General features: G+C 42.6%; 1 protein-coding gene across 5 annotated transcripts in view; it reads right to left on the bottom strand.

Moving 5' to 3' along the window:
* Nucleotides 1–20,708, bottom strand: part of MSRA (methionine sulfoxide reductase A) — a 374,600-nt gene that overhangs the window by 336,635 nt on the left and 17,257 nt on the right. The window lies entirely within an intron of this gene.

Genomic DNA, 20,708 nt, shown 5'->3' with positions numbered 1-20,708 from the left:
ATAAAAGTAGAACTCAATACAGACCAAAAAAAGAAAGGAAAAATCACAAATATATGGAAATTAAATAACACTCCTAAATAATGAAGAAATAATAAAGACTAGAGTGGAAATAAATGAAATAAAGAACAGGAAAACAAACACAGAATATCAGCAAAGACACTGCAAGAGTACTACAGACCCTTTAACTCACACCTGTTAGAATGGCTATTATGAAAAAGATCAACAAAAACAAGTATTGACAAGAACGTGGAGAAAAGGGAACCATCTACACCATTGAAAGGAATATGAATTAATACAGCCATTATGGAAAACAGTATGGAGGTTCCTCAAAAATTAAAAATAGAACTACCGGCCGGACACAGTGGCTCAAACCTGTAATCCCAACACTCTGGGAGGCCAAGCCAAGCAGATTGCCTGAGGACAAGAGTTCGAGACCAGCCTGGCCAACATGGCAAAATCCCACCTCTACTAAAACTACAAAAATTAGCGGGGTGTGGTGGCACGCATCTTTAATCCCAGCTACTTGGGATGCTGAGGCACGAGAATCACTTGAACCCGGGAGGCAGAGGTTGCAATGAGCCAAGATCGCACCATTGCACTCCAGCCTGGGTGATAAGAGCAAAATTTCAACTCAAAAAAAAAAAAAAAACTACCATATGATCCAGCAATCTCACTTCTGAGCATATATCCAAAGAAAATGAAATCAGTATACTGAAGACAATGTGTACTCCCATGTTCACTGCCGCATTATTCATAATAGCCAAGACAGGAAATCAGCCTAAGTGTCCATCAACAGATAAACGAGGAAAATATATATGGTAAACGGAATACTATTTGGCCTTTAAAAATAAGATTCTGCAATATGTGACATCACAAAAAATAATATGTGAGGCAATGCACATAATTAGCTTGATTTAGCTATTCTATAATGTATACATATTTGCAAATATGTTATACACCATAAATACAATTTTTGTCACTTTTTAAATGTGAATAATGAACATAAGTAAAAATTTAAAGCACTACAGACCAATATCGTTACGAATATAGATGAAAAAATTCTGAACAAAATACTAGCAGACTGAACACAGCAAAATATAAAAAGGATTATAAGCCATGACCAAGTGGGATTTATCCTAGGAAAAGAAGACCAGTCCAACATATAAAACTCAATCAATGTAAAATACCATATTAATAGAACCATGTTCAGAACCCACACGATCATCTCTACACAGAAAAGGATTTGACAAAAATGCACACATAAATGCCCACAGAATCATTGTTCATAATAATCCAAAATGCAAACAATCCCCATGTTCAGCAGCTGATGAACGGATACAATGTTGTTGGGCTACACATTGGAATATTACTCAGCAATACAAAGGAAGGAAGCACTGACGCATGCAATGGCATGGATGGGCCTTTGAAAAAAGTATGCTAAATGAAAAAGCCAGACACAGAAGTCCGCATATTGTATGATTCTATATATATGAAAGGTTCAGAAGAAGCAAATCCACAGACACAGAACATAGCTTATTGGTTGCTGGGACCTGGGCAGAGGGAAGAATTGGAAGTGACTGCCAATGACTATGGGGTTTCCTTTTGGAGTGAACCAAACATTTTCACGGTTTAATGGTGATGTCTGCACAACAAAGTGAATGTACGAAAAACCACTGGATTGTACATAATAAAATGACAAGTTTTATGGCATGTGAATTACATCAACTTTTTAAAAGTTGCAGTCCATCTCTCCAGTATTTACGGCTGTTACAACCCAAGATAAACTCACAAAAATCCTTTATAGCCTCTTAAACAGAGGCAATACTATACATTAACTAAACTCTTATCCACCTGAATCTGCTTCAGGAATCTGCCCAGCTAATTCTAGTGCCTTACTGTTTTGACTTCTTGGTTCCATCCCAGCCAACTCCAGCATTCCTGATTCCATCCAAACATCGCTCCCTTCTGCCAGCTCTGTTGGTTCTGGCTCTGAGAGCTTCTGCTCTCCTGGACTGCTAGGCCCTCCCAGAGGCACCCAGTCATTTTTGTCTTCCAACTCACACTGCCAGGCCCTAGGGAATTCAAAATTTTAACAGCCAGCCCCCTCTGCATTAAGTCTCTGCTTCCCAGGACTCATTTTGCTCTCCATGTGCACCATGAATCCCAGCAGGCACACACAGCCCTTTTCAATAGTAACCCAAGATCTGACTCATCCCCTTTCATGCTGCTGTGGTTTGGATGTGGTTTGCTTGTCCCCACCAAGTCTCATGTTGAAATTTGATACCCACTGTGATGGTGTTGGGAGGTGGTGCCTCGTGGAAGGTGTTCGGCTCCTGGGGGCATATCCCACATGAACGGATTGGTGCCATTCTCAAGGGATCAAGTGAGCTCTCACTCTCATGAAACGGGACTGTTTCTAAAGGAATAGATTCGTTCCCTGAGACTGGGTTGTTATAAAGCCAGGACGCCCCTTGGGTTTGGTCCTTCTTCGCAGGTGCTCGCTTCTCCTTTGACCTTCTGCACCAAGTTTTGATGCAGCACAAAGGTCCTCACCGGAGGCCAGCAGATGCTAATGCCATATTTCTTATACAGCCTGCAGAACTGTGAAGGAAAAAGACCTCTTTTCTGTATAAATTATCCAGCCTCAAGTATTCCTTTATAGCAACACAAAATGACCTAAGACAAACACCTACCTCTCGTCTACCCGCTGTGGTTTCCCCTCCTAGCCATGTCCTTGGACAAGATGCTGCTTTCTATATCCACATCAGACACTGACCATGGGAATGTGCAATGGCAAATTCACAAATATGAGGCATTTTCCCTCCAGTTTTTACTGTTTACCTGATTTACTGGTGGCCTCAAAACCTTTTGATTCAAGCTCAAAGAGGAGGTGAAAATGAACACAAAAAGGGAAATACAAAAGGAGGCAATTGTTAGGTTTGTTCTTTTGTTCTTTTAAGGCTTTGTTCTTTTTAAAAAAATAAATTTTACTGTGTATTTTTGAGTTTGACAACGTGATGATACGGGATGCATATAGATGGCAAAATGGTTACTGCAGTGAAGCAGACTAACATATCCATCACCTCAGAGTTACTGTGTGTGTGTGTGTGTGTGTGTGGGACAAAAGCAGCTAAAATTTACTTATTTAACAAAAATCCCTAATACAATTTTATTAACTTTAGTCATGATGTACATTAGATCTCTCATTTGTCCAATATATCTGTTTTTATTTATCCTTTGATCTACATCTCCCCAATTCCTCTCCCCACCCGCAACCCATGGAAACCACTGCTTTATTCTCTACGTGTGTATTAATATTTGAGATCTTTTTAAAAATATTTCATATAAGTGAGATTATGTAATATTTCTCTCTCTGTGTCTGCACATTTCACTTAGCATAACGTCCTTTAGATCCGTCCGTGCTGTGGCAAATGGCAAGATCTTCTTTCTTAAGGCTAGTATTCCATTGTATACATATATCACATGGTCCTTATTCCTCCCTTGATAGACTTTTTTTTTCTGAGATGAAGTCTCACTCTGGTGCCCAGGCTGGAGCACAGTGGTGTGATCTCAGCTCACTGCAACCTCATCCTCCCAGGTTCAAACGATTCTCTCGCCCCAGCCTCCAGAGTAGCTGGGACTGCAAGCATGCAGCCACCACACTCAGCTAATTTTTGTATGTTTAGTAGAGATGGGGTTTCGCCATGTTGGCTGGGCTGGTCTCGAACTCCTGACCCCAAGTGATCCACCCGCTTCAGCCTCCCGAAGTGCTGGGATTACAGGTGTGAGCCACCACGCCTGGCCAGTTCCTCCCTTGATAGACATCTTAGTTTCCACATCTTAGCTATTGTCAATAATGCTGCAGCATACATTGGAGTGCAGACATCTTTACAAGGTAATGATTTCATCTCCTTTAGCTATATTCCCAGAAGAGGAATTACTGGGTCATATGGAAGTTCCATTTTTAACTTCTGTAGGAACCTTCATGCTGTTTTCCATAATGGCTATACCAAAATACATTCCCACCAACAGTGAACTAGGGTTCCCGTAGTTGGTGGTTACAGATGGTAGCATGGGGAAGTCTTTCTACAGACTTAACAGAAGTCTCTTGAGAGTGGCAGAAGAAACAGGAAGTCAAAATGAACAGACTACCTCTATACCTGGGGTTTTTCAAACTTCCTTCCAAGGAGCCCTAAAGTCCCCCAGATGCTTCAGGGCTTTGACAAAGGACAAAGAAATGATAAGCAGGTGAGGTCCTAGATCACCCCTGCATTAACTGAAGTATTTGCCATTAAAAGTAATGGCAAAAACCGCAATTACTTTTGCACCTACCTAATTCTTCCATTTCTGTGATTTATATGTATGAGGTTTACCTGAGATTTTGCCAAAAAGTCTACTGCATTTGGAGAACCCATGAAAATTAAAATAAATTTAAAATGTCTCTCTTAGAAAAAGTTTAAAATCCTTTACTTTAAGCCAATCTTAGAAAACACTCCCTAATGAAATAACCTAACAAGAAACCTTGAGGGTATGGCACTCTCAGAATATTTACAATGTGAGCTAATATTGTCATCTGACATTGAACACTGAGACAGGCAACCACTCTCCCAACCATATCAAGAACAGACCTACCTAGCCCACGGGACAGAAAATGGAAGACAAATGAGTTATGGACCATTTCCCTACTTTCTCTCCCTCTGGAAATTTAGATCCTTAGAGCTACAATCTGAAACTCCAAAGAGCACAGATCTGGTCTCCTTTCCCTGCTTTCCTTCAGTGTTAGACACATCCATTCACTCGAACAATTCTCTCCAGCACTCTCTGAACAACCACTACTTGCCAGGCATGAGCCAAGGGATATGGAGCCCCTGCCATCATGGAGCTCAGGACAGACAGAGAGACATGCAAACAAATCATTATAAACACAAGCCATGCATGAGCTGTGGTAGAAGCACAGACATGCTCTCCCAGGGACACAGGAAGGAAACAACCTGTTCATGAGTCATCCACCAACATACTCATTTTATAGGTATTTGTTGTATTTATAGTATGCTGAAATTAGTAAGGCTCTGGGAAATATAGAGGCACATCAGAAAGGCTCCAACCCTCAAGATGTTTAAGGTCTAGTAGGAAGATAAGACACTTTGCAAACACAACCATGCTTTACACGTGACAATTCTTATTATTGAAACATCTCCCAAAATCATGTCTTCCATGTTGCCTCCCTGGTGTCATAGAAGATAAACTTCCTTTACACAAAGCTCCAGTGTGGAATTCTGAGAGCCCTCCTTCCTAAGGCCAACCCAAATTATATCCATTCTCATTCTCATTCTCATTCTCCTCTCTCTCCCTCTCCCTCTCCCTCTCCCTCTCTCTCTCCCTCTCCCTCCCTCTCTTCTCTCCTCTGCCTGGCCCACCTCTCTTCGCCTCTCCTCTCCTTTCCCTCCCCTCCTTCCTTCTCCACTAGTATATACATAGTCATTACTTGCATTCATTGATTTATTAAGTATTTACTGAGTACCTGCTATGTGTGAAATATGAGGTTAGAAGCCACAATGGACATAAAAATGAAATAAATGAAAAGTGAAATCACGTATTAATAACAACCGCCACAATAAGAAACACTTTGCACTCTTTAACTCATTCACTCCTCACCTAAGCTTTGGAGGAAAATAGGTATTACTTTATGGATGAGGAAACTGACATCCGAAACTATGTGACTTGTCCAGACCATCAGATTCATATATAGGGTAGAAAAATTTCAAGCAACCATCCCAGGTTTCATTATTTAATGAATTCACAAAGCTGGAATTAACATAGGTGCCCTCATACATCCAACTTCCTACTTAACGGTGCTTCTTCAAAGGCTAACTGGCACCTCAAACTCAACTTGGCCAAACCAGAATTCTTGACTTTTTCTCAAAAACCTTCATTCCTTTCTCAACCTCCATTAAATGGTAGCACCAGCATCCAACTGCTCAACCTGAAAACCCAAGAGTCATCTTCAATTCATGCCTCATCACCCACTAGAAAGGCTATTAGGATAAAGACAGACAATATCAAGTGTTGGCAAGTATGTACAGAAATGAATCCTCATACATTGCTGCTGGGAATATAACATGATAAACAGTTTAGCAGTTTCTTAAAAAGTTACACTGATCATAGGAACCAGTTATTTCTACTCCAAAATCTATCCATGAGAAATGAAGACATGGGCTCACAAAAAGACCTGTACATTCATGGAAGAATTATTCATAATACCTCAAAACTGGAAACAATCTGAACACCCAGCAGCAAGGTCTATCTGCTGCCACTAAGGAATAAAATGAAACAATTACTAGTAAGTGCAACAACATGGAAGAACCACAGGAACACTATGCTAGGTGGAAAAGCCCATACAGAGAAGACTACATGTTGGATGATTCCTTTTCTATGAAATTTATCTTTAAAAAGATAACTATGGAGACAGAAAGCAGATCAATTGTTAGCTGGAGGCAGGTGAGCAGACTGACTGCAAAGAGGCAGGAGACAACTTTTGGGGGTGATGACAGTGTTCTAAAACTGGACAGCATTGATGGTTTCACAACTGTACAAACTTGTTAAAAAGCAAATTCCACTACTTTAGAAGAGGTGAATTTTGTGGTACATAAATGATACCTCAATATGGACACATAACAGAAAATATTAACATAGAAACCATCCAAGGTACCGTATCATGCCTTCAAGGGGCTATTGAGATGACTAAGACACTGTCCCCACCTAAAAGAGGTTCCGCTCATCTTCTTCCAGTTGCAGAAACAGGACAGATCCATGGAAGTTATTAGATATCACGTGGCAAGAAATGACTGCCAAATACACACAATAGGCACTTTCTTGAGCACGACAAAGTTTGGAGGAAGAAGAGAGGCCTGGAGCCAGGCACTGGGGAGGCCTTACAGATGATGTTCATCTCAAATGGGGCCATGAGGATGAGTGGAAATCAGAAACGTGGAATAGGGTGGGTATTCTCAAGAACAAACCCAAAGGCAGGAATGCTCAGGATGTGGCAGTCATCAGTGGGCTGTCTGGCTAAAACAGAGGCCCACAGGAGGGCAGGAAGAGCCCCAGGCTAGCTAAGACCTACCAGAGGCCCGAAGCACCCACCCCTCACAGATTTTCCTCAAACTTCAGGCATTTGAGCACTGTGTTCACGATTTTTGCCATATTTAAAACCATAGTACGATTTATTTATGATTTAGTTGATATGTTTTAAACTCACTTCTTTTTAACCTAGATTTTTAAAGGAAATTTTGTATTAAATATAAAGGGGAACCAGCTTCATCTGAAAAAATAAATTTTTTAAAAAATAAAAGAATGTTAATTCGCAAAGCCTATAACTACCTCTAAACTCGAGACTTATTTCTATTAAAAAAGACGATAGCAAGTACTGAAGATTAAAAACATTCTAAAATTCTAAAACAGAAAATTCTAAAAGGATAGGGCAATCTATGTAATAACTAATTTTATTTAGCACTTACTATAGCCACACAGTGTTCTAAACGCTTCTCCTTCTGTGTCATTTAATCTTCATAAAATAATACCTACCTCTCATCAGGGTATCATCAACCCCATTTTTCACCCTAGGAAACTAAGGCACAGAGACCTTAACTAGCTTGACCAAGGTCATGTAACTTGCCCAAGATCATAGAGTAATAAATTTCAGGGTTGGGACTAAACCCAGGTAGTCTGTCTCCAGTTTGTATACCCACCCGCTAAAATTGAGCCAATCCCCACATGAAATAATATTTACGAAGGTTTACATGGTTAAGATCTGTTTGATGAACTAAAAGAAGAAGAGACCAGAAGACTATTACAACGATCCAAGCATCAGATCCTATGAGTCAGTGGAGCCGGGCAGGGGTCACTGTCGTTAGCTGCAGGCAGCAGAGGGCCGCAAAGCAGGAGCTGGGCCCCTGCCCAGGGATCTGGCCAGAAGGCAAACCTTAAAGAAAGAGGCTAAGGCCCAGGTCAGAAATGCAAAACCTACTGTGAAAGAGAAGCGCTAGGAAAACCACCATCCTCAGGAGGCCAGAAATCAGAACTTGGAAGCGTGGACAAGTCGGAGAGTACTCCATAACCAGCATGTGGAGCAGCAGGGTCGCTGAAATGCCAGGCCCTGCCTCGACTCCCGATGGCACCCAACAGCCTCTTAAGATGTGACACTGCACAAGTCCTTGCACATTTCACTTCCAAAACATAATATTGATACGAAGACCTCAATTTTATTTGTAAATGGATTTCAGGTCTTTCAAGAGGACAAAATTTAGCTGTACCTTGGCCTAAATCCCCTCTTTGAAATTCAAAGTACTCACTTAGGACTGGGATCTAATTCTCAGAGAAAGTATTTTAAAATTAAAATTAAGCAATACATTTAAATGCTATTTCCAAGCTCTGACAGGTCTGAAACATCGTGAATACAGACGCCATTAATCCACAGACATCAAAATTGTGTTATTACCTTAAATCTTCAAAAATCACTGTTTAGGGAAAAAAACAGGATAGCAGATAAAACTGTCAGAATAAGGAAAAAAAAACCTCTTTGAATAAAATTTCCTCTGCATAGTTTAAAAGACTAAAAAACTTAAAAACAAATGATCTGGAACTGCCCAATTTGATACTTAACTCAGGTTTTGTTAAATAAGCAGAAAAATTAGACACTGTAGGTTTATGATTCACCCTTGAAAAAATGTGATTTCTTATTTCCCTGGAGAAAAACTTTAAGTGCATCAATAGATTTCCGTGGATATCAAATATTTCTCCATCATTGTGAGTAAATTATATTTGGATCAAAATCAGATGGATTAAATTTCTCTTAAGATACCCAAGAGATTTCTAAAATACAGGGAAATGTGTCACATATCTAAAAACAGTATTTTAACCTAATACCTCCATGGAAATGTCTCTCAATTAGAATATTAGCCAGAAAACAAATCTAAAGTGAGTTTTAGATTTGACTAATTCAAAGTAACTTGTTAAAACTAGATTGTCATCTGCTGATGTTAAGATCAAATTCATAATCTTTTGGGCCCTTTAAAAATCTCTGGAAATATGGCTTTATATTTTTAACACAGAAAAAAATGTATCTGAGTGATAAGTTGGATGAGAGTCACAATTTAAATGCTATGTATGCAACAAAGAATGTAAGTATGGTTACGTGCTTCCAAATTCTTGATAAATGCACCCCCAGTCAGTGCCATCAGATTGGAGGCTTAATTATTCTCATCTGTGTTATTTTTGGCTTCCTGACTAGACTATAAACTCCTTAAGAGCTGAGATTATTAACTTTTCTAATCATCCATTAGCACCGTGCTGAGCACATCTAGTCGTTCGGTAAATATTGATTGAATTCCTACTCTGTTCACGGCACTTTGGTGGGTGCTCCAGGGATAAGGTGATAGAGTGAACACAGTGCCCCCTTCACACGAGGAGCGGGTGGAATAAAACACAACCACACAACCGTGTGATGGGCAAAGGGGGTCACAGCACACCGGAATGGAGATCACAGAGAGGGACCCCTCAAGCCCGGTCACCACTTCCTCTTGCCTGTTTGGTTCGACATGTAGTCCAACCTCCAAGGTTACACAATTTAATGCGAGGTCAGTGTTCAAAAAGTCCCATCTTTGCTTGAGAAAACAACTTGGTAGGATTTGGAAGTAACAGATGAGACCCTTAGTGCACGGATGTTAGCCAGAACCCACGCCAAAAAGAAGTGCTCCATCTGTTTTGTGGGAGAAAAGATGACGTATGTTTTCTTAGGAGGGCGAAAGGAAGGAGGGCTGGGAAGGAAGGTGGACAGCTTCGCCCTCAAGCAGGGAGAAGCTGTGAAATGAGGCTGCCTTGGCAGCAGGAATAACCAGGGTTAGAGGTCCCCCTTCCGTGATGTGTGCAGTGTGGCCCCTCCCCCATCACTCCTTCCCCAGTCTTCAGGAAAGTCTAGGACATTCTCACCTGTGTTATGGGTCAGGTTTTGTAGGGTTTGTTTTGTTTCGTTTGTTTGGCTTTTTCATTTTTTAGCAGCAGGGTTTCACACTACCACCCAGACTGGAGTATAGTGGCACCATCACAGCTCACTCAGTCTTGACCTCCTGTGCTCAAGCAATCTTCCTGCCTCAGCCTCCTAAGTAGCTGGGACTACGGGTGCACACCACCACACCAAGGAAATTGCATAATATATTTTTGTACTGTTGGGGGTCTCACTTTGTTGTCCAGTCTAGTCTCAAACTCTGAGCTTCAAGCAGTCCTCTTGCCTTGGCCCTCACAGCGCTGGGACACAGGCATGAGCCACCAAAGCCATGGATGAGGTTTTGATAGAAAATGAGACAAGAGTCAGCAGAGGGGGTAGAATTCGGGGTAGAACATTTGACTGCAGATCAAGAGGTCCCCGCTTCGAATCTGGGTACCCCCTCAATTTCCTTTACATTGGCCAGGCGTAGTGGCTCACACCTGTAATCCCATCTCCCGGGACTTTGGGAGGCCGAGGCAGGCAGATCACCTGAGGTCAGGAGTTTGAGACCAGTCTGGCCAATATGGTGAAACCCCGTCTCTACTAAAAATACAAAGATTTGTCAGGCGTCGTTGTGGGCGCCTATAAGTCCACCTACTCGGGAGACCAAGACAGGAGAACTGCTTCAACCCGGGAGGCGGAGGTTGCAGTGAACTGAGATCACGCCACTGCACTCCAGCCTGGGTGACAGAGTAAGACTCCAACTCAAAAAATAAATGAAAAGGAGTCAATTCAGTGTGAAAAAGAGGTAGCATCTGGAGATGCCCGAACCTTGAGGCGGAAGTAATCATGAGAACACAAACTCCCCGAGTCACACACACACTCCAGAATTTAGAGAAATATTAAGGATAGCTTCACGTTCCCATGGTAACGAACTAGGGACTAAGCCAAGGAGCAGGAGGCCCAAATGGCACGTGGGTTATAGAAGTCAGCTATGGGATGCCAGGTTCTGACCACCAAAGGAACACCAGCAGCCTCAGAGCAGGCCCCTCCACGTGGAATCAGCCACTGCCCCATCCGCCTAGTTCTTATATGATGCCTCCTGATCAACCCCTTCCTGCTGTTGCTGTGGATGGCCCTCCAACTGGACCACGTGTGCAGCCCAGACAGGCCTGCTGTGTTGGCTTGGCCTGTGGCCCTGCCCTGCCCTGCCTCCATTTTAATCCATGTTGTGACATCCTGCCCAGGCATCTCCCTAGCATCCAACCTCAGCCTGTTTCCCGTTTGCTACTTCTCTGTCAAGACAGTTTATCTGGACTATGCCTTGCCCAACAGCCTTCTGCGGTATGGAAGACCTTGCACATGGTAATTAAGAAACACTAGTCTTTAGCAAGAAAAGCTGTAAACAAATTTCACACTCAAGATGAGGCTGCCAAGGCCAGGCACGGTGGCTCACACCTATAATCCCAGCACTTTGGGAGGCCGAGGCAGGAGGATCGCTTGAGCCCAGGAACTCAAGACTAGCCTCGGCAACATAGCGAGACCTCATCTCTACTAGAAATTAAAAAAAAAAAAAAAAAAATTAGCCAGGCATGGTAACGCATGCCTGCAGTCCCAGCCACTAAGGAGGCTGAGTTGGGAGGATTGCGTGAGCCCAGAAGTTCAAGGCTGCAGTAAGCTGGGACTGTGCTACTGCACTCTAGCCTCCACTCCAGAGTGAGACCTTCTCTAAAAAACACAACAAAATTAAAAAGAGACAGCTGCAGGCTGACACAGAACTGACAGTCCACAAAGCACAAGGCCCATGTGCAGTCCTGTGGAAAGAACCTCGGCTCCTGGAGGAAACCACAGCACGGTTCTCCTTCCAAACTGCCTGAGTTTCAACTATACTTTCAAATATTCAGATAGTGAAAACAGGGTTGGTCTCTGTAAGAAATTTCAGGAAAAAAAAAAAAAAGATTTAAAAAAAATCTGCAAGAAGCCATCCCATAGAAATGAAATACTAATAAGGGGGATAAAGTTAGTTCCTAGGCAGGGATATGGATTCATAATTGCCAGAGTAACTTCCCCTAGACTGAGAAAGAGAATGTCGTAACTGTATTAGCAACCAGTCTGCTAGGCCTCCATCTTCTTTCTCTGCCTTTGCCTCAAGGGGAAAAAGAACAGAGAAAAAGATGGGGGAGAAAAGCAAGTGAGACCATGCAAGAAAGAAGCGTGGCTTAGAGTTCTAATTCATCAGCTTCTGAGGAAAGGAGATTAATTTTGACGGGAAGAGAGAAAGTGCTAAGCGTAACACAAGAAAGCACTTAAAATTACCGCAGGTCAGGAGGAAAAAAGAGCCTCTAGGAACTTCGCTTTCAAGCACTTTTCATAAGTAGCAAATTTATGAACAGAGAAGTTAGGTAAATAGCTCAAAGCTGCACAGCAAATTAATAGCAAGCCAAAACCGAGAATTCCTGAGCCCACTCTCAGGGGCCACAGTGGCTTCTCACCTTGGCTCTGATAAGAGAAGAAGCCCAGTTGACAGGGAAACACTTTGTGGCTTATGGGCATGACTGGATAGCCAAGAGCGCTGTAATGCTTAGCACCCAAGCACCAAATATGAAGGACTAAGAAAGGTTTTCCTTATGTTGTGCGGGGAGGGACACTGCGGGGAAGGAAAGAGATCCAAAGCTTCATGATGTGACACTTAAGACCAGTCAGTTTTAATAAGGGAGCTATTCATTTCTACCAGGAGCTCACGTCATGGCTGCTAGTGAGAAAGGCAGTAAGCTGCGATGTTCCTGTAATTAATGAGCTTTATTTTTCTAGAACAAACATGGTCGGGTGTGGTGGCTCACACCTGTAAGTCCAGCACTTTGGGAGGCCTAGGAAGGCAGATTGCTTGAGCCCACGAGTTCGAGACAAGCCTGGGCAACATGGCGAAACCCTGTCTCTACAAAAAATACTTAGCCAGGCATGGTGGCACATGCCTGTTAGTCCCAGCTATGTGGGAGGCTGAGATGGGAGGATCACCTAAGCCCAGGATGTCGAGGCTGCAGTAAGCCAAGATCCTGCCACTGCACTCCAGCCTGGCCCACAAAGTGAGACCCTGCCTAAAAAAAAAGAAAAAAGTACCACATCATATGCTGAGCCAGGTGCTATCTCTCACCTGGTTCTTGACACCTATGAGCCTGCGGGCAACGCTAAACTCTGCGGGATGGGGAAGCAGTCCCCAGAACCTCCAGGTAGGATCCTGCCAGCACACAGCGGTGAATACTGGAACAACACGAATGTCCAGCACGCCTGCGGCCCTAGCACGGCTTCTAAGTGTGGCTCACATGAAAAGCTAGCGAGGGACCACTGGCTCCAAATGTGATCCCCATTTATTTTCCATTCAAGACAAACCTTGTTAAGGATAAGGAAGGCATCCATGTTAATTCAGCTGCAGGTGAAAATATTCCAACTTGGACTGCCTTAAGGAAAGAGAGGCAAAGAGAAACAGGGAGATAGACTGGTTGTTTTTGGTCAAAGAATCCAAGGAAACGCTGAAGACTGAAGCCATGGGAAGGGCAGAAAAATGGTTATAGCTAAGGAGCTTGGGACCAGCTACCATTTCTGCCTCCTCCCGTGGGCCTCAGCCTCTCCTGCTGAAAGCAGATCTTCTGCAGGGTGCAGCACCGTGGCAGCTGCCAGCCCTACACTTTCACAGTTTACAGCTCCCATCTCTGGAAAACAGGCACACAAGCTGCAGGAAGCAGACGCTGTCCAGAAAGGGTCAGATGACCCACCCCAGGGGTCACTGGTGCCTGAGGGCAGAGTCCCAGTGGCCAGTCCAGCACCACAGCAACCATGTGAACGGGGCTGCGCCAAGGGTCCCCAGTGAGCCTACAGGACCCACCTCCATCACACTGAGCTCCACGCATGAATGTGAACATACACCCAAACCAACCATTCATACACACCTCTCTCACGTTTCAGCTTCCATCCTGGTCTCTACCATGGGTATTACACTCGATAGCAAACTGGCTGAGTAGGGAAGGAGGAGGAGGGTAAAGAGGAGGAAGAAGAGGGAAAGAAAAAGCAGAAAAGGAAATTTCAGAACTGCAGAGACATCTTTATAGTGCTCACCTCTCCCCATCCAAAACACCTGTTGCTGTGTACTTACCGGAAAACAGTGACTAAATTTTCCCAATTTGGCTTTAGGGCAGTTCTAAATTAAACTTTTATTTTTTGTGTTTAATTTCCTATGCTACTGCTCTTCACAGAAATTGGTTGGGCTTAAATCCCAAAACCTTCAAGGAATTAAGCACAAAACTGAAAATATTAGTGAATATTTTCACTAATATTAGGGTGAATAAGATGCTGTGAGATACATCTTGACATATATAAATACTGTAGCAACAACGTACAGAATTACAGACAGCTAACACATGGCCGGGGATGAGTAAATGGGACCAATGGACACCAACAGTCTCCTCCTAAATGGATAGCAAGAAATTGCCAGGTCCAGATTCCATGTGGCACTGAGGGCTTCCAGAAGGACAGGACTGTAAGAAACTTATTAATAGATGAGTTGTCAGAAGCCTCAGAAAGCGAGCGAGGGAGGGAAGAGTGAGGGAGGCTGAGAGGAAAAAGAGCAGAAAAGTAACTAGGAATAAAAAACAAAAGGGGTCCAGTCCTGGGGACTCATGGCTGTAATTCCAACACTCAGAGAGACTCAGGAGGGAGGGTCACTTGAGCTCATGAGTTGAAGACCAGCCTGGGCAACATAGTGAGACTCTGTCTCATTTAAAAAAAAAAAAAAAAAAAAAAAGGAGAAGGTAGTGAAAAAGAATCCATGTATAAAATGACAAACAGTAGTACAAAATTTAGATTTTCTTCAACATCTTCCCATATCTTCCCCCTTTAGAATACACACATTTTTGAGTCTCTCCCATCTTTAAAAACCCTACCCCTTTTGAACCTGTTGCCTTATTTCCAGCCAAGCTGTTGAAAGAGAAGCCAGGATCTGCAGGTCTCCACACTTTCCCACCTGGCCATGGTGCCTGGCTCTCGCCCTCCCTCTCTTTGCCCATCATTGTTGGCAAAAGCTTTTGGTTGTCAAATGCAATGGCTGTGGCCGACCATCCATTTCTTCCTGATGTTCTCATTTCTCTTGGTTTCCTGAGTACTCTTTTTGCTTTTCTAACTACTTTTTCCACATAAACTTGGAGGCTCCTTGTCCTCTGCTCTTTTTTTTTTTTTTTTAAGTTCTGAGGTACATGTGCAGGATGTGCAGGTTTATTACATAGGTGCAGCAAACCACCATGGCACACATTTACCTATCAACCCATTACCTACGTATTAAGCCCAGCAGGCATTAGCTTTTTTTTTCTAATGTTCTCCCTCCTCACACCCGGCCCCAGTGTATGCTCTTCCCCAGCCCCCCATCCTCTGCTCTTAAATGTTGAGATGCTACAACACTCATCCCTGCCCTCCCTTCTCCTGATGCTACCCACTCTATCGGAGCTGGGTGGAGACACTTGCGGAAAGGCAGGAGACTAGGAAAGTAGAACCCAGAGCCGGGAGGCACTACAGAGCCAGCCACCACTGTGGGTAAGGGAACCTCCCAGCCTCTGCTTGACTCTTTCTTCTGCCAAAAGGGAGCTCACTGCCCCGCAAAGAAATTCCCTTGCGATAAACTAGACTGGGGCAATCAGGAACAACACTGCCTGCAAGAAGCGATGGGAATGGAAGCTGCGTAAATGCACACCCATGTTGACCATCAAGAGTCATTTTGAGAGAATCTTTTCCCAAGAGGTTATAAGACTATGGGTTTAAGTAATAATCAACCTTCCTGCTTCATAGGTGGACCCAGAGGCCAGTTCTCCCAAAAAGAAGGCTGGAGCTCAGGTGGAGTTGAAGGCCATGTGCACCTACAGCTTAGCCACGTGCCATACACCGCAGCTCTTGCAGGGAGTGTGGTGATGTCACGTAGCCATCAGTCACTCTTACAAAACAGGGCAACAGTATGACAGTACACTGTCCCCTAAGTGTCCCTACTGGACGCATCACACTGCAAAACAAACATTCTGTGCAACTGGCAGGAGCCAGGTACCATTCTAGGTTCTTTCCTTATTATCTCATCTATTCCCAGAAATAGCGACTGTCTGTTTTACAAATGAGAAAACTGAGGCAAATTTATCCAAGGTCACACAGCCAGTAAGCACATGACGCACAGCTCTGACTCGCAGTCCAGACGTGAAGTCCCTGTGCTTTCCACCAAGCCAACATGCCCTTCACTAGAGAACACATTTCTGAATGTGCCTATTTATACTGAGGCGGCAGACATCGACGTATGGTCATGAAAGGTCCTGTGGAGAGAGGTAATAAGCAAGCATTCATTTCCCAGCATCACACTCCACGGCATAAATGAGTCTCCATATCTTGGTATTAGGAAAAGAGAGGAAAGTGGTACCCATGGGAGAAAAATATGAATGATGCTAACAGAATGCAGCAAACCCAATAAATCCAGAGAATAATATTGCTCTGTGATCTCCGTAGCAGTTATGCCGGGACTGAGAACCACCTTACGAGAGTTCTTTGTGGAACTTGTTATATCGTAAAATCATCTCTTGATGCTAGAACATAAAACAATGTCTTTTTTATGTAAACACAACCTTGGGGAAACTGCAGATAACTGTGGATCTCTTTAGGATATTTTCTTCTGTCATACTGGGAGCCATTTCTTTCACTCACCAATATTTTTACATATTTGTAGAAACACTTCTCTTCCATAAATATTCAACATGAATCATAATGCAGAAGCTAAAAACTCAGATCTCCTCTAATAACTGCTTGGAAAGTCAGCCACTGGACACACATACACAGTCGTAATAAAATTTCTAAAGATGTTTGTGCTAGAAGGTAAAAACATAGCTTCCATTTACTGACATTCATTAATATTAATACCTATTGGCCTGAATTATACTAAAAGAGTTTTATTGAACACACAACTTCCAAATACGATACTACAGAATATAAGCTCAATCATTCTTTAGTTCATTTAACTAATGGTCATCATGTAACAGACATGCCTAGGTGTGGGAGGGATCCACATAAGTAAATAAGCTCTCATTAAATTTGCAATGCCATTATACAGAAAACAGAAATACAATAATCACTATTATAAACTTAAATAAAAAGACAATATATGAAGTCTTCAAATAATATGAATGCATACCAAATGAGTAGTAAAGAAAATAAATGCTAGCAATTCCTAAGCAAGGAGGGTCAAATGGGTTGGCAGTAATGGGTAAACAGAAGCATGGCAAAGAGAAAAAAGAAGTACAGGGTGCCGGGCGTGGTGGCTCACACCTGTAATCCCAGCACTTCGGGAGGCCGAGACAGGCAGATCACTTGAGGTCAGGAGTTCAAGACCAGCCTGGCCAACACGGTGAACCCCCGTCTCTGGGTAATCTCTAAAAATTAGCCAGGCATGGTGGTAGGTGCCTGTAACCTCAGCTACTTGGGAGGCTGAGGCAGAAGAATCACTTGAACCCAGGAGGCAGAGGTTGCTGTGAGGAGGCGTCGTACTACTGCACTCCAGCCTCAGCAACAGAGCAAGACTGTGTCAAAAAAAAGAAAAGAAAAGAAAAGAAGAAGAAGGGGTGTATTATCAATAAAGCCATGTTCTGGGGAGAGATCAAGCAAGCTGGAAAATAATCAAATGTGAATGTAGAGATGCAGGACATAATATCTCTATCAATTAATAATCAATAAACACAATACCACAGTGGTTTACCTTTCAGTGATCAAAAAAACTTATTCACTTATTTCCTAACTTAGAGACTCAGGTCATACTTCATCCCACTCTTTTCAGTGAAAGCAACAAACTTTTCAAAGCTAAACATTTTAAAACTCCCTTAGACAGGCTGGGTGCGGCAGCTCACACCTGTAATCCCAGCACTTTGGGAGGCCGAGGCAGGCAGATCACGAGGTCAGGAGATCAAGACCATCCTGGCTAACACGGTGAAACCCCATCTCTACTAAAAATACAAAAAATTAGCTGGGCATGGTGGCGGGTGCATGTAGTCCCAGGTACTCGGGAGGATAAGGCAGGAAAATGGTATGAACCCTGGAGGCAGAGCTTGCAGTGAGCCCAGATCGCACCACTGCACTCCAGCCTGGGGGACAGAGCGAGACTCCATTTAATAAAAAAAAAAAAAAAAAAAAAAAAAAAAAAAAAAAAAAAAGCACCTCCCTTAGACAAAACAAAATGGAACTATGTAACTAAAAAGTGAAGAACTGTCACGTATAGAAAGCAACACTCCCCTAGATCCCTTAGAGATCAGTGAAGTCATGTATCTTTCCATCATAAGGAAACACAGCAATACAAACTATAGGAACAGTCAGAGAATCAAGGCAGGAAAGAAGGTTGAGGTCAAGAAGAAGTGAAATGAAAGTAATTTGTTCAGGGTAACTGTCAAGCTACAGAATTAATAGAAGTTATCAAAAGAACATGTTAGAACTACCCCAAATGCTACCGTTGATAGAAATACAGACAAAGAGTAGAAAGTGCCTTTAGAAGGCAACTAGATCTACATCTATCCATCCTCCCTGCTTTCTTCTGAGGCTGGCCGCAGCCAATGGCTCAAGCTCTAGGTCTTAGCCAATTAGAGTAAGAGTGTGTGGAGTAAGAGTTTGCAACCATGGTAGAATATCAAGAGATAGGAAGAACTTGGAAAAAAAGAAAGAAAAAAGGACAATTCAAAAGAAAAAGTTGGTGAAACTATAGTAAGATTCAGCAAACCTTTTCTGTAAAATTCCAGATAATAAATATTTTAGGTTTTGAGGGTCATATGGTCACTATCACAACTACTCGATTCTGGTGTTACACTGAGAACGCAGACACAGAAAACAGCTAAAGCAATAAGCATGCCTGTGTTCCAATAAAACTTTATTTAAACAGGTGGTAGAAGACCCTTTTCCTGATAAAAACACTGAGGAAGTTAGGAATAAAGAGGAACTACCGTAACTCAATAAACAGCATCTGCAAAAAAGCCTACAGCTGACATCATATGTGATAGTTTAGTGAAAGGCTGAATGCTTTTCCCCTAAGATAGATACAAAGTAAGCATGTCTGCTCTCAATACTTTTTTTTTAAGGCTAGGGAAATATCCACAGATCACTACTTTTATTTAACATAATACTGGAAGTTCTAGCCACTGAAATAAGGCAAGAAAAACAAAAGGCACACAGATTAAAACTCTACTTCCAGGTGATAGGGTTATCTATGTAGAATATCTGAAAAAGTCTATGAGAAAACTTCTACTAAAGTGAGTTCAGCAAGGTTGAAAGATGTAAGATCAACATCCCAAAATCAACTGCATTTTTAAATACTATCAATGAACAGGTGGAAACCAAAATTAAAGATACCATATCATTTACAATCACTCCAAAGAAAATGAAAAGCTTAGGTTAGGTATGAACATAGCAAACATGCACAAGATCTATACACTGAGAATTACAAAACGCTGATGAAAGAAGTTGAAGGCAACTTAAATAAATGGAAAGACATGCTGTGCTCATGGATTGAAAGACTCAGCATAATAAAGACATCAATTGTCCCTAAATGCAATTCCTATCAAAATCCTAGCAAGGTTTTTCTGTTGACAGAGAGTTTATTCTGATGTTTATTTGGATGTTTATATGGAGTGGGACAGACCTTAGAACAGCTAAAACAATCTTGAAAGGGAAGAATAAGGTGGGAGGGATGACTCTAATATTAAGGCCTGCGATATAACCATCATAACCAAGACAGCATGACAATGTCACAGAGGGAGACCCATAGATCAACGGGAGGGAGTAAGGACCCAGAAACAGACCCACACAAATATGGCCAACTAATTTTGGACAAAAATGCAGAAGCAAATCAATGGAGAAAGGATTTCAACAAATTATTCTGTAGTAACTGAATATTCATCCATAGACAAAAAAAAAAAAAAATGTTGCGAAAGGGAGTCTTGTGTGCACAGCCTTTCAGCCCCCACTCAGTGGCCTAAGAATGGGCCCTGGGCCTGAAACACATCTCACCAACAGATGAAGAGCCCTCATCACCTGTGGCAGGCTTATGCCTTGTGTGGAATACGTATCTCTCACTGCTGCAAGCTCATGTGTGCGCCTTTGTTCTGCTTAAGGGTGTGTGTCACATGGCACCTGGCCAACCTGCCAACCTCATTGCTCTATCTGTTCCCCACCCAGGAAACAGGGTCCCTTAGTTGCAGTACAAAAGGGGTGCTCGTAGGCAGACCACCCCGTACGGGCAGCCACGAGGGACCCCTGGACACAGGGGACCCATACGCACTACTGAAACTGATCTTGCTCTGTCTCTTCTCTGTGTAACTATTGCTCCCTCGACTACCTGACTGTGTTGTGTTTTCCTTGGAGACTCTCGTACTGAGATACAGCGGGCACAAGTGTCTGGATCGTATTCCTGATGGTTGGCATAATGATGGTTTTTGCTAACCTCCATGGAGTGCCAGCCTTCCCTTGGAACTGAACACCAGTACACAGAGTTCTGTTTGACACAAATGAACCTCAAACTAAACATCAACCTCAACCTGAAACAAAAATTATCTCAAAATGGATCACAGACTTAAATATAAAATGTAAAACTACAGAACTTTAAGGAAAACAAAAAGCATAGGAAAAAATCTCCAGGATCAACGCAAGGCAAAGAGTTCTTAGACTTGACATGAAAACA

Source organism: Homo sapiens, chromosome 8, assembly GCF_000001405.40.
Source record: "Homo sapiens chromosome 8, GRCh38.p14 Primary Assembly".
In the NCBI taxonomy this organism is placed as follows: domain Eukaryota; kingdom Metazoa; phylum Chordata; class Mammalia; order Primates; family Hominidae; genus Homo; species Homo sapiens.
This window is presented reverse-complemented; position numbering and strand designations above follow the sequence as displayed.